This window comes from Homo sapiens, chromosome 19 (genome assembly GCF_000001405.40).
Source record: "Homo sapiens chromosome 19, GRCh38.p14 Primary Assembly".
Lineage (NCBI taxonomy): Eukaryota > Metazoa > Chordata > Mammalia > Primates > Hominidae > Homo > Homo sapiens.
Genome location: NC_000019.10, coordinates 30,148,201 through 30,163,540, shown reverse-complemented (window position 1 = coordinate 30,163,540; position 15,340 = coordinate 30,148,201). Strand labels below are relative to the sequence as shown.

The 15,340-nt window shown below is 51.1% G+C and overlaps 1 annotated feature.

Moving 5' to 3' along the window:
* Positions 5,480-6,440: an enhancer, noted in NCBI's record as "H3K27ac-H3K4me1 hESC enhancer chr19:30648008-30648968 (GRCh37/hg19 assembly coordinates)". NCBI's record gives its function as "activates a minimal SCP1, AML or CMV promoter by ChIP-STARR-seq in primed H9 embryonic stem cells {active_cell/tissue: H9 hESC(primed)}" and the evidence as "EXISTENCE:reporter gene assay evidence [ECO:0000049][PMID:30033119]".

Below are 15,340 nucleotides of genomic sequence, written 5' to 3'. Positions count from 1 at the left end.
ACCGTGACTCAGGAGAGGAAGAGCTATGTCATCACTGCATATGAGAAGGATGCCTTGCAGAGGGGCAATTCATGACCCACTGGGTCTGTCCATCCAGCCAAAGAAGTGACATATAAAAGTGAACAGGAAATTAGGGCTGGGGTCAAGGCAACTAAACACAGACTCAACGGATTGAGTAATTTTTGCCCACAGGGAGCAGTGATGTAAATAAACATCCAGTAAAGAAAAAAAAAATGTAAGTAAGGAAGGAAGGATGGATGGATGGATGGATGGATGGACTGACAGACAATATATGAGGGATGAATTGACAGATGAATGGATGGGTGGGTGGGTGGGTGGGTGGATGAATGGATGGGTGTATGGGTGGATGGACAAATTGACAGATGGATGGGTGAATTGATGGGTGGATGGATGGATGGATGGATGGATGGATGGATGGATGGACTGACAGACAATGTATGGGAGTGAACTGACAGATGAATGGATGGGTGGGTGGGTGGATAAATGAATGGGTGAATGGACAAATTGACAGATGGGTAGATGGATAGACAAATTGACGGATGGATGGATAGGTGGGTGGATAAATGGATGGGTAAATGAATGGATGTCTGGATGGATGGATGGATGGACGGATGGACAAATTGACAGATGGCTGGCTGGATGGATGGATGACAAATTGACGGATGGATGGATGGATGGATAAATTGACGGATGGATGGATGGATGGATGGATTGATGGATGAACAAATTGACGGATGGATGGATGGATGGATGGATGGATGGATGGATGGATGAATGGATGAATAGATGTGTGGATGAATGGATGGATGGATGAATTGACAGAGGGAAGGATGGATGGATGAATGGATAGCAATTGAAAAATGTGACACAAAAAAATTTTAATTTTGTTGTCACAAGCATAATATTAAAGAAATGAAGGAAGAAAGGAAGGGAAGGAGGGAGAGAAGGAGAAAGAACTCCTTCTGACTCCCTTGCCTTATACAACCCTAGCCAATGCACTTGACAATATCAGCAAGTGGGTGGGAACTGTGCTGAGGATGTTGACCTAGAGATGGGTCCATTTTTAGAATAGGACTGGGAGTAATGATGCTGCTCTGTCATTTCAGAAGATGCCATTAACATGAAGTCCAGGTCCTGGACAACATGTCCCAGGTCTGGCTGCAGGTCCTCAGTCAGCCATTTCTCTTGCAAAAAGAGAAGCATCCAGCCAATGGCATCTGACAGGGTGGCCAGCTCCCCAGATTTGCTCTGGGTTAAAAATAAATCTTAATCCAACAAGACACGCAAGGGAAAGAGGGAAGGAGCCCCATGTTTGTCCTGGGTGTGCTGATAGCACTGGAAGGCCGGAGTCCTGGTCTATAAAAGGTGGATGTTCTTGCCTAGCAAGGCACAGAACTTAAGGGCAAGAGCCAGGGAGCCAGGCGACCAGGGCCATTGACTCCCTGGGGAAGCTTGGACAAATGCTGTAGAATCTTGGAGTTTCAGCTTCCTAACCTGTGAACAGGCGTTCATGATGTCACACTCAATTCTCAGGGCAGCACGGTCTGGAAAGCACCAGTCCAGTGCCAGGCTCAGAGTCGGTGCTCATGAGTAGTAAGAATGATGAACCAGAAGGAGAAGCAGGAAGACAGCTGATGGGGCTCGCCCTGCAGGGGCCTGGCAATGAGCACATGGGCTCAGAAACCCACTTTCCAGGGATGCCCTGCTCCATGTCCTCCCATTGCCATGGTGACCTGTGAAAGTGGGAGCCTGGTGAACACTGCACTGGATAAGAATTAGAGAAGAAGGCCCACATCATCCTATTCGCCTGAAACACACCCTAAAATCCCATTTTCAGTAGACTTTCCTTTTCCTCTCAGAAAGAAAACAATTTATGAAGCATAGAATTCCTTCGATAATTAACTGATGGTTATCACCGCTCACTTTGGCTTCTTTCAAAAGAAGAGGGGCTTGGCAGGGCTGGGGTGAGCTCTCTCCAACTCACATGAGCAGGATGCCTCCAGGCCTGCAGCTAGTGGTCCCGGGGGACGGCTGCCTCCCTGGTCCCTGTGGTTCTGAAGACAGTGATTCCAGGACTGGGTTTTTCTGACCATACTGGCCTGCAAGGACACAGAGGCTGGTGTGGGGCAGGAGCCTTCAGGGGGGCTGCTCTCTCCAGCCCCAGCCTAAGGGTGTGTCACTGAGTCTCCATGTCCCCGCCAAGGCAGTGACAGTGCAGGCATTAGGAATAAGAACATGGGTGAGCATTGGAAGGAAGCAGACCAAGTTTACACCAGGAGACTTGAGCAATGGAGGAGGAAAGAGGGTGGAAAAGCCGAGCCTGCCTTGGGAGTCTTTCAGAGACCCCCAAGGAGAGAAACCTGGGCTCCAGTCCCAGCTCTGCACTGGCCACTGGGCAGATGCAGACTCTGTCACTGCTGAGCGGCTCTGGTAAAGTCCTCAACCTCTCTGGGCCTCTGCTTCCTCACTTAGAAATGATGGGCATGGGCTCTCTGTCTTTCCAGCTTCCCAGCTTTCCAGTCCTCAAGCTCTTTCATTTTTTCTGAAAAGCACGAGGGTCCAAGAAGGTATTTGAATGTCCATGAGGCAGGAGCACCATGCAGCTGCCTGGTCTGGCTTTTACAGCAGAAAAGTCCTCTCTCTTCCCACACAGAACCTCTGAGGCCCCGACACCTCCAGGGTCTTGGGGAAATAAAAACTTTCCTGCCATTCAGTGGGGCTCTGAGAAAGTCCTACAAGGACATGGGCTGGGAACTCTCTAGACAGTGTGGTGATGGAAGTGGCAGGCTTTGGCCAGTGCTCCTGGGGAGGGAGATGCTGCAGGCGGGGAGAAAGCCGGAGGACATGCCTGACACTCCCACCAGCGTTCTCCTGTCCACATCTGCCCAGGGACAAAATAAGACAACAAGAGTAGCAACAGCATCTTCCAGGTGCTCCCGTGTAACCATGATGGCCACAGCCCGCTGCTCACAGCAAGTGAGCACGCCGAGACACCAGGTTGCAGCAGAAAGAGAGAACTAATCATCGGGTTACAGAATAAGGAGGTGAGAGGAAACCTCCAATCCGTTTCCCCAAGGAGTTTGGGGCTGGAGATTGTAAGGGTTTTGGAATGGGTGTAGTATGGAGATTGTTGATGAGTGGAAGCATGCAGGGTGAAGTCCTGGGGCAGGGAGAGGAAGGAGCTGGGTTCTCAGGCTGATCCCCATCCTCCGTGGGGTCTTCAAACTGGTGCTGGAGTTCGAGGTGGGAAACACATCTTACAGAATCCTTAGACAAAAGCTGTATGATTCTAATGTCTGAAATCCCATCTATGGGAACAATAGGCGTGCAAATAAATGGTCAGTATCTAGTGCTACATGAATTTTAGCAACAATGAAGTGTGCCAGAGGGCAGCCTGACTGATGCTTAATTATATTTCTGCCCAGAACCTGGCTTGTAATTCTTGTCAACCATGTGGGGATGGTTTCACTTGCAGAGCCAATTCTCTCACCCAGCCCTGGACATAGAGATGGAGGCTGAGGCAGGAAAGAGGGAAGGGACCTCCAAGGTTAGCAGCAGAGATCTGTTCCTAACTGTGGTCACAGCTCCTAGGTGTCCCATTAGGAAGTTGCTCCTTTCCATGTGGGTTGGTTAAGCCCAAACCCATCTACACTCCATGGGCTACCAGGAGAGGAACATGGCCCAGCCCTGACTATTTACCCCAGGCATCGTCCCCAGCACAGCAATTGACTCAGTGGTGGGCCTGTGACCAGAGCCTGACCAATGAGATGTCAGGATCATTCTTGGGCCCTGTGGGAAGCAGGTTTCCTGCTCAACTAAGGGGCATCCCTGGCTGCACTGTCTTTGCTGCCTAGGAGGCAAGTCTGTGCCCAGCACAGCAGAGCTGAAAAGTGGGGGAGAGGGATTCCCGAGATATCTCTGATCCACCCGTGCATGGTGCAAAGTCTATTCCCAGGCTCAGCTCCATGAGTACTAAAAGAGTACCTGCAACCCCCCGCCTTTTTTTCTGAGATGGAGCTTCACTCTTGTTGCCCAGGTGCCATCTTGGCTCACTGCAACCTCTGCCTCTCGGGTTCAAGCGATTCTCCTGCCTCAGCCTCCCATGTAGCTGGGATTACAGGCATCCGCCACCAAGCCTGGCTAACTTTTGTATTTTTTTTAGCAGAGATGGGGTTTCACCATGTTGGCCAGGCTGGTCTCCATCTCCTGACCTCAGGTGATCTGCCTGCCTCAGCCTCCCAAAGTGCTGGGATTACAGGCATATGCCACCGCACCCGGCCTTTTTTCTGCATTCAGTTTCAGCTGGGTTTCTGTCACTTACCACCAAAGGAGTCTGGTTAAAGGGCACTGTCACACAGCTTGATAGGTCTGGCTTCCCTAGACTCAGATCCAGGGCAGAGGGCTGAGGTTCAGAGGAGGGAGGGGGCGCATGGGCAGACACACCCTGCAGACTTTCCAGGGTCCCCCCACACACATGCACAAACAGTTGCTGGATAGACACAGGGCTCCCTCCCAGGAGTAAGCCCTGGTGCCCTGGTGCCCCTACTCCCACCCAGGGAGGGGAGAGGAGGACAGAAGGCCCATCTTGCATTGAGGGAGAAGAGCATTCAGAGGCTGACCCCTTCAGAAATGCACACACCCAGAGCATGACAGCAGCAGGAAGGGAAATGAGAGCCTGTTTAAGCTGGTGCAGCAGAAATCATTTGGGTAAAAATTAGAGACAATAAAAGGCGGTAATGTGATTCTTAACTGTTGCTCTAGGCCTTCAGGGCAGTTAGAGGAAGTAAATTAGGTGCTGAGCGCCTTCTCCCTCGGGATTGCCAGGGTCTCCCATGAGGGAGAGCTGAGGGGTAGCATTCTGCCCTGCCCCAGGGAATTCCCTGCATATCCAAAAGCAAAGCCCTTCCAGGTGGCCAAGTCCTGACGCCCTTGTCTTGTCACGCTCCCCAAATCACGGCCAAGAGCCGTGCCCTGGGTGGCTGCACTGTTCAGTGCATGAAGGGAGATGACAGACTCAAGGCCTCATCTTCAGGCCCCAGTCTAGGGTTCCCTGTGCTGCCCCTGCCCTTCTCTGCAAGGGGCCCCTAGACATGCAAAACTGGCCGGCGGGAGAATCGCTTGAACCCAGGAGGCAGAGGTTGCAGTGTGCCAATATTGTGCTACTGCACTCCAGCCTAGACAGAGACTCCCTCTCAAAAAAAAAAAAAAAAAAGTGGCATCTGTCCAGGAAACACTGCCCATGCTGGGAGCTGCTGCCTGGACCCCAGGGAAGAGGGAAGCTCCTGGTGGGTGTCCAGGGATCCTCGGTGATGAGAGGAGTGGGGACAAGGCCATAAAGAGAAACACCCAATGGAGTCTATGGGCCTTACCCCTGCTGCCCCCCATTCCCCATGTCCCCCCACTCCTCTGTCAGGCCTACCCAGACTCCCCTCCCCAAGAGCCTGAAGCACCAGTAACATGACTGTGTTAGTCTGTTCATGCTGCTGTCATCAAGTCTCTGAGACTGGGTGATTTATAAAGAACAGAGATTTACTTCTCACTGTTCTTGAGGCTGGGAAGTCCAAGGCATCCACAGGTTTGGTATCTGCTGAGGGCTGCTTTCTGCTGCCACGATGGGACATTGAACACTGTCTCCTCCAGTGGAGAGGACCACTATGTCCTCACGTGGTGAAGGCAGAAGGGCAAAAAGAGGCCAGATTCCCAGATTCTCTCCACCAAACACTTTTTTTTTTTGACATGGAGTTCCATCTTGTTGCCCAGGCTGGAGTGCAGTGGCGCAATCTCGGCTCACTGCAACCTCTACCTCCTGGGTTCAAGCAATTCTCCTGCCTCAGCCCCCCAAGTAGCTGGGATTATAGGTGCTCACCACCATGGCTGGTTAATTTTGTATTTTTGGTAGAGACGGGGTTTTGCCATGTTGGTCAGGCTGATCTCAAACTCCTGACCTCACGTGATCCACCCACCTTGGCCTCCCAAAGTGCTGGGATTACAGGCATGAGCCACTGCACCTGGCCTAAACCCTTTTATAATGGCATTAATCCATTCAGAAGGGCAGAGCCCTCCTGACATAAACACCTACCAAAAGGCCCCACCTCCCCACACTGTTGCATTGGAGATTGAGTTTCCAACATGTGAATTTTGGAGGGGACATATTCAAACCACAGCAGTGATCTCCCACTCACCCTTCCTCCCCCTGGCTCTCCCCCAACATACACTCTACCTCAGGAGACCCTGGCCCTGCTGTGTCCATCGGTCTCAGGTCTCACTAGACAGAGTGATGGGCCAGAAATGGGTCCAGCTTCAGCTTAAGGATGACACAGACCCTTCTCGGGGACCTGCAGGGTCTGAAAACAAGGGTACTCCTGTCCCCCAAGTAGGCTTCCATTGCTCTACACAAGGGAGTAGGGTCGCTGGGAAAGTCTTGGACAGGTATAGAGAGCCTCTCTAGCATCCTTCCTGGGACAGGCTGCCCAGGTTGGGCCACAGGGAAAGTATTCGCATTTCTCCTTCCATTGCCAAGCGGCCAGCGTCCACCAGGGGAAGGTGTCCACCACCAACTGAAAGTGGTCTGTCCAAAGGTCCGAGCCTAATCCGGACATTACCTGCAGAACAAGCATCCCAGGGCACCTGGATGGGTAGGTGTTCCTGCCCAGGCTGCAGGTGTCCTCCGGGCCAGGCCAAGTCCAGGTCTAGAGCACTGCGGCCATCCTCCAGCAAGTTGAGGCTGCTGGGGTGCTGGGAGCCCACTGAATGTTAGGAGCCCATTATGTGGCTGGGAACAGAGAGATGGGCTTGGCTCAAGAGAGACCAGCAGGTCCAGGTCCCTTCCAGGGAGTCTCAAGGCAGGCAGGAGACCGACTTCTCACCCAATAGGAGCCCTGCCAGCACCCTCTGAACCCCATTCCCTCATTCATTCAACTGTTATTTATTCCCTGACTGCTGTGTACCAGGTGGAGGTGTGCTGGGTGCTGGGGGACGAATGATGAGCAAAGTCAGGGCACAGTCCTGGCACCTGCTGGCCATGCCATCATAACCAGATGAGCATTTCTCAGCTCCAGTACCGCCGACATTTTAAGCCAGATGTTCAGCATTCCTGGCCTCTACCCACTGCATGCCAGGAGCACCTGCCACTTATGACAACTAAACGTGTCTCCAGACATTGCCAAATGTCCCAGAGGATGGAAGTGTAAAGTTGGCCCCAGTTGCCTGGGAACCACTGGTCTAAGGAGAAGACCAAAAGAAAACACCCCACAGGGAAGGCCACACAGTACAAGCAGAGAATGAAACGGAAGCTCCCGTTTTTGCTGGGCAGGCACACAATCCCCTCAAAGGAGAACGTTATGAGCTGGGCCCAGAGCAGAAGGAGGGGCCTGCCATGCAGGGGTTTCATGTGAAGCCCAGTTGCCTGCACTGGCTCCCTGGGGCCTCTCCCAGCCCCAGCGTGGGCCATTTGGCAGGAATCACCATCCCCAGTTAACATGTTACAGGAATCCTAGCCAGGAAAGGGGAAGTGATTCTCAAGGTCACCTGGCCCTGAAGCTTGACCTTGGATCTGGTACTCCACTCTTCTCCCCTCTTTCTCTTTTCTCCCCGCTTTCATCCTCCCTCTCTGATGCTCCTCCTTTTCTCTCCTTTCTCCTTCTAACCCCCATATGTTCTGAGGGACTCAGGACTCAAGACGAAGCAATCCTGGTCATGACCTTGGGGAAACATTGAGAGGAGGGCCGAGTCCTCGCTTGGCACAGGGCCCGGCGCGTAGTAGGTATTCAGGCGGCGCTGACGTTCTCTGTGACACCCGCGTGCCCCACTGCCTGGCTCAGCAGGACGGGGAGCAGGTGGCTGGCTGTTTTAACAGGGTATTGTGTAACCTCCTGCCCTTGATTGGTGACATGAAGGAGAGAATCAGACGCATGCTGGAAACCCACTCGGAGGGGCGCAGACCAAATCCACAGCTTGGAGTCACCATCTCTTGGCAGGCGCCAGGCAGTTCAGCCTCTCCCAAGGAGACTGTAATTGAGAGCAGCACTAGGTTATCTGTGACTGCGCATCCAAAAAAAAAAAAAAGGCAAGAAAAATAAAAATTAAAAAAAATCTGAATTGCTTAGCATCTGAATTGCTTCCCGAAGACACAGAATTTAAACATGATTAATTTTTAGGCTTTTTTGTGAATAAGGGCTGATTAAATGTTTATATTTTCCATCATTTTGCTGAAAGCGTGACTACATTATGCCAGCAGAACTGCACTAACTAAATAATATTTCTGTTACTGTTATTACATTGATTCTGCAACATTGGGAAACAAGATCTCTGCTATCATTATATCAATCCAAATATGGCATTAAGATCAGTGTGCAGACAGAAAGGGCTCCCTCCTCCTTCTCCATATACCTGGATATTGGATTTTCAACACCTGAGGAGAGGAACCCAGGGCTGGGGAGGAGGTCGCCTTCCGGAAGACATTTCAGATGATGCATTTTCCGAAAGGAGGTCGACTCAGACCTCCCTGCTCCCATCCTCCTGTCTGAGAACCTGTGTCTCTCTTGCTTCCACTGACATCGACTCCAAAGGAAATAAAATTAATCACCCCTGCCTGGAAGTTATCCTGCCTGTGAGTTACACACCGGCTTACAAAGGGTGGCTGAAACGCCCCCCATCAGGCACCCTGTCTGCCTAGTCCCACAGCTGGCCAGATTTTGATGACAAAGGTGATGTTGCTATTGTCACCCTGATACCGCGTGCAAAAATGAGATGAAATATATTTTGACTGGTTTATAAAAAACAATCTGACATAAAGTAATATTCATCTTTGATGAATCCAATATTCTTAGGGAATGATATTAGGCGGTATCTATTATATCTTTCATTGTGCTCCCATCTGCCCTTTTCAGGAGCTAAATTATGTGCATTAGTACGTAAATGGGCTAATGCCTTTCTGTATTTAGAGGACTGCACGCCGTGAATATATTCTCTGCTTCAAGAAGTAATTGGTAATTACAATGGTCATTTAGGCAATCACTGTCTCTGCTAGATTCATGTCATTCTTAAAAATAACTAGCTCTTAACCTTTGACAGAATTCTACAGAAACTGTTCATCATCGCCCACGCTTTGATTAATTTCACACATACACAAACCTGTATCAATAAAAGTGATGGTTTTACATTTGTTAACCACAGCAATTTGCCTCACTCATCAAAACAGCTTAATATCAGGTAACAGTGTGCTCCAAATCTCATTAGTTTCATTTTATAAACAGTTTTATAGTACCTTACTTGGAGGAAAAAACAGTGCATTCGAGCTGTTCTCCCCATTCAAACCATCTCTAAACCAAAGGCGCTGCGGTATTTATGGGGGTCTTTTTTTTTTAATTGGGGGGGAGGCGTAAAATAAATGAAACTTAAGAAAGATGACAGATGTTACAAAATGCAAGTTTCTCATTATTTACTTACTGTTCACCCTAAATTACCCAAGCCGCCCATTATCTGTTGTATTTGCATGTGGGCTCTACGGTTCAGAGGAACTGAGAGGAGAAGGAAGGAGAGTTAAAATGTCAGGCAGATGATGAAAAAGCCCAGCTTAGGGAAACTCCCCGGACATCCCGCAGCTCCTTCAGCCCCCGTCGTCTGCAGCAGCTCTGAGACCTGTAGACTTCACCTTTAAGGGCATGCCCTCCCAATTTAGCACCCCTTTTTATTTATGTAAAAGCTTCAACAAATAAGTGGTCGTAGGAATGCCAACAGCATGCTGTCGTTATTTGGATTTAAAGCTGCAAGGCAGACCTTCCCGGGCAAAGGGAATTAAAGAGCATACTCCATGCCTGCAAAGATAATCGAGTCCTGTCTATCGAAGGCGGGCCTCGCTTTTCCAGTTAATATAATTATATGGAATTACAGAGCCACTTGCATTATTGAGGTAAAATTAGACTTTATCGTCAGCATCACCCAAATCCCTGCCTTTTTTGAGGTTAGATGCTTGTCTGTGAAACAGGATGCATAGAGGCTTCCAGGCTAAAGTACATCCGTCAGAGATGAGGCTGATTGCTGCCCCACATGAAGGCTCTGCAGAGTCCTGTCTCAGGGCTTGGGCTGGGGTGGGTGAGCAGAGATGTGCCAGCCTGCAGGCCTCAGGGACTTCAGGGCTGGGGATGCTTATGGGGGAGGCAGGAAAGACAGGATCCCATTGAGGGGAGATGCAGGCAGCATGAGAGGGGGCAGGACTTACTGTGGCCACCCCAGACCTTCTGAGGAGGTGCCTCTGGAGGTGAGAGTTCTACCTCACCCCCAGCCTTTACTGGGTTCCCAGAACCTTCTCCTCTTGCTCTATCCACCTGCCAAGTCTGAGTGTGCTAAAGGCCAGTCCCAGCTCCCAGGTTCTCCAGATTCAGACCCTGATGCTGCGTGCTCTGCAAAGAACATGTCCATCATCTCAGCAGTCCCCTCTGGCCTTCCCCAGCCCACCCGGGGATAGCCCAGGCCACCTAGGGCAGACCACAGCCAGAGGCCCCACCAAGCAGGACAGAGTCTGAGGCCGATCAGCAATGGACTGGGATTTGGGGATCAAGGCAGAGTTGCTGGGAGAATGCCTGGCAGGCACTGGAAGGATGCTTGCAGGAACATTTCTCTTCCCTCTGTAAGGTGGAAGCGTTAGCTGGGGGCATGTACCAGGGCTGAAGTAAATCCCTGGCGAGCACAGACAGACCTGTACAAACAGACCTGTACAAGGAGGGCTTGTGCTGTGTTCCTGCTCTGTCCTCAGTGCCGTGACAGGGCCTGGCACCTAGCACACTCTCCTTTCGTGTGGCCTGAAGGAATGAATGGGCTGCCAGAGTAGCAGCCGCAGTAATGATTCCAGTGATAATAATGAGGGTGTTGGCGATGATGACACGCCCTGAGCACTAACCATGTACCTGACACTGTGCAAACATATTTCAGCCCTTTTTCATAGCACTTCTGTAAAATGAATATCATTTTTTGTTTTTTTGTTTGTTTGTTTTTTGTTTTTGAGAAGGAGTCTTGCTCTGTCACCCAGGCTGGAGTGCAGTGGCACAATCTTGGCTCACTGCAACCTCCGCCTCCCAGGTTCAAGCGATTCTCCTGCCTCAGCCACCTGAGAAGCTGGGACTACAGGTGGCTGCCACCACGCCCAGCTAATTTTTTTGTATTTTTAGTAGAGACGAGGTTTCACTGTGTTGGCCAGGCTGGTCTCAAACTCCTGACCTCAAGTGATCCACCCACGTCGGCCTCCCAAGCAAATATCATTTTTATGTCCACTTGACGGATGAGAAATTTGAGATTCCAGGCCCTGAATACTGGCTCAGCTGCTTCTCAGCCATGCTATTTAACCACTCTGGAAGTAAATGTATTCGTCTGTCAAATGGGCATATAAAGGAACCTGCCTGGTGAGGTTTGTAAATGAGATAACCCACATGACTTGCTTAGGACAGTGCCTGGCTCATGGGAAACAAGAACAGAGGCAGCTATTATGACTGTGATCATTATTCTATTACCACCCTCCTATCCCACGTGCCCATTGCAAGAGCCACACTTTCACAAATCCCTGAGCCAAAGCCCACTGGGATCCCACACTCAGGGACAGCTGCATCACAGATGAGACTCAATGAAGAATGAAAACGTGGGACCCCTTGTTCAAAAAGCAAGGGAGAAATGCCATTAAAGCCACTGAAATAAGTATTTTCCTAGCTGGGTCCAGTGGCTCACACTGGTAATCCCACCACTTTGGGAGGCCAAGGCTGGAGGATCGCTTGAGCCCAGGAGTTCGAGACTAGCCTGGGCAACATAGCAAGACCGCATCTCTACAAAAAATACAAAAATTAGCTGGGCATGGCTGCACATTTCCTGTGGTCCCAGCTACATGGGAGGCTGAAGTGGGAGGATCACTTGAGCCCAGGAATTTGAGGCTGCAGTGAGCTGTGATCACGCTACTGCACCCTAGCCTGGGTGACAGGGCGAGACCCTGTCTCTAAAAAATAAAAACTAAAGAATTCTCCTGCCTTCTGCTCTTTCTCTGGGCTTGTCATGGTGTTTTTAAATTGCTACTTAGTATCACTCTGAGGGGAAAGAGAGCTTTCACCTGGAAGGTTCCATCTCTGCAGGGGCATTGAGAAACTGGGGACATGTGTTCAGAGAAGCTGCTCCTGTCCCCACGCGGGCATGCTGACCACTGTAGGACACCCTCTCTGAGGAAGCCCAGAGATAGGGGATGGGCCAGAGCTGTGAGTCCTGCTGCTTGGCTGGGCTGGGCCAGGAGCAGGTGACGAGGCCAGCAGAGAGCAACCTCTGCTTCAGGGAGCTTGGCCGAGAAGTAGCTGGTTTTTTTGAATCCCTGGATTGGAAAAACGCTAATAACTTTCTCTTTCTTTTTTTGATACATAAAAGGCAAAGAATACGGTCTGATTCTCTCCTGTCTTCTGACAGGTATATGATAATGGGATGATTTTGTGCCTACAAAGGTCAGAGATAAAAATTCACAACTCTCTCCACACGTATATTCAGCAAGAATATAAAGATTGAAAGAAAAACAAATGCCTGCCATGGTGGGGCTTCTCCACTTTCCCCTCCCGGCCTCCCTGCCTGCCCATGTGCACACGTGTGTGCATGTGGTAGATCATGACTTGAATTTCAGCCGGAGGAGAATGAGGATGACTCAGAGCCAGTGCTCTCAACACCGCCCACTCCCCAACCCAAGTCACAAAATTGCCAAAAATGATAAAGTATAAATTAGGTCAGATGGGTTGCAAAATGGCAGGAACTGGGATTTTCACCATGGAAACTACTGGGTGCAGAATGCCACCCTCCCGGGGCTGGCAAAGCATCTGAGCTCTCCTGAGATGTGGAGGGGCAGGGACCCCGGGGAGGAGCAGGGACAGGGAGGGGCGCCATAACCACTTCCCTCCTCAGCACCCCGTGTCCTCCTGCATAGCAGGGGTATACAGTGTAGCCCTTTTCAAAGCCCTGCCACGCTTTCTTTCATCTGAACTCCAGAAACCACCTCAAGGTGGACGTTATTCTCATTGCACAGAGGACAAACCTGGTATTCAGAGAGGATGGGAGACATGCAGAAGGTCACACAGTGACAGCCCATGTCGCTCCGAGCCAGGGCTGGGTTACACCTAGAGAGCTGTGGAAACGGGGAGCAGGAAAGAATGGGCCTGGCACCATAGGGGCGAGGCTGACCTTGGGAGGCCAACAGGATCACAGTGAGCCTCTGCCCTAATCTGACCCCTGCAATCAGGTGCTCACTGGGCTCACAGTCACAGCCTCCTCCTTCCACTCCTCCTGATCCGACTTGGAATTCTCATTTTCCGATTATGTCCTAACCCCGGACGAGCCAGCAGTGACAGGCGATCGATCACAGCAATAGTGATGGTGGCACTGACACTTACTAGACACGCATCCTGGGCCAGTCCCTGTGCAAGGCACGTTGCCTGCTTCATTTTATCCATTTCTCACACCCATTTTACAGACGAGGGCTCTGAGACCAGACACAGGACCCACACGTCAAGGTGGCACAGCTAGCGCGTGTGGGGCAGGGCCTTGGGACTCCTTTCAAATGCAGAGCCAGCTCTGCGCCCATTTCTCTAGGTGGGGGCCCAAGCAACGCCTCCAACCACACGGTGGGAAAACTGAGGTGGCTGAGAGGCAGGCCTGGAAAGCAGATGGTCCTGGATTGGGGTCCTGCCACTCCTTCTCCCACCTGAGACCTCAGACTGGAGACGTTCTTAGCCTCAGTTTCTAAATCTGGATGACAGAGGTGAAATGAGACCTACCTACAGGTGGTGGGCAGGGAGAGGAGGGTAGTGGGAGGAGTAAAGGCCCTGGACGGCCTCAGAGGTTGTCATAACGAGTTCCCTGTGTGTATTGGCTCCAAGTGAGCTGGTTATTATGAAGGGAGGTAGAGAAAGGAAAAGCCCAGAACAGCATCGGTGAGCCTTGTTGTGCTCTGACCAAGCCCTCCCCCTCCAGGAAGCCTTCCCTGACCCCTTCTGGCCCCACATTCTCTCCATTCTGACCCGCATTTCTGGTGACGTCATGCCTGCCAGCATTTTGCAACTGTGTGTCCCCTTCCACCCAGTGGGGAGCTTCTTAGGGGACTGTGGATGACAAAGCTGGCACGCAGCACAGGCACTTATCACTTTGTGATTTCTAAGCCCACATGTATCTTAAATACAGAACAAACATTTGCCCACAAATTGGCCACCCTTACTTGGGGTTCCACATGACCCCAAGATCATTTTCTGCCATGCTTCCCTCTCTCCTACCTCAATCCCTCCAGCACAGGGATCCCTGCAAGGACATGTGGAAGAGGTGCCAACAAACCTTAGGTGATGACCCCCTTAGCCCCTTGACCCCACAAGCCAACACCCATGGTTCCAGTTCTGTGAGACTGAGTTGCTGGGACTTCTGGCAATGTTGAAGTGGCCTTGAGTCAATTCTGTGGTGTGTCCACGTGGGCATGTCCGACCGCCTGTGTGCACATGTGTGTGTGAAAGCTCGTGTGTGAGCCTGTGTACCCTTGGCATGTGCCCATAAATATCCATGTGCACAGGTCTGTGTGCAGGCCTGCACATGTGTGTCTGAGGAGTGTGTGTGTACACGAGTCTGTGCATGTCTGCGCATCCGAGCACTGTCATTGTGCATGCCTGTTTTTGCTTGTCTGTGCACAAGTGTGTGTATGCATATGTGCCTGCGCCTTTCTGTGTGTCTGTGTGCAGGAGCAGCTATGGGTGCGTCTGTCCAGGCGTATACGTGTTTCTGAATGCTGGCGCCCTTGTGTGGTGGGCGTTGGGAGTCTAGAGAGCTATGCTGAGGTCCTGAGCCATCACTCAAGAAGGAATGTGGAGCAGACAGTCACTCAGTGGGTTACTAACATGAATACTGGAGCCCACTGTGACGAATGGTGACACGCCTGCCTTTTCAGAGGAAGAAGGAAAATGCTTCCAGCATGGGTGAGGCAGGGTGGCCTAGGGAGGAGCAGCCCTGGTGGCCACAGGGCTGGAGACTGAGTTCCAGGCCTGCCCCTACCCTGTCGAGTCATGATTTTGGGCTGCTCTTCTGAGCCTCAGTTTTCCATCCCCTAAAATGAGCAAAATGAGGGTGGCAGAGAAACAAGGTGGCCAAGAAGGCTGGCTGGCTATGGACTCCAGCTGGGCTCTGAGAACCTCCTTGGCTGTGCTACTTAACCTCTCTGGACTTGAATGTATTCATCTGTCCAATGGGCGCATAAACAAAGTACCTGGTGGGGTTTGCAGGAGGGAATGAGATAACCCATGTGACTTGCTTAGGACAGTGCCTGACTCACGGG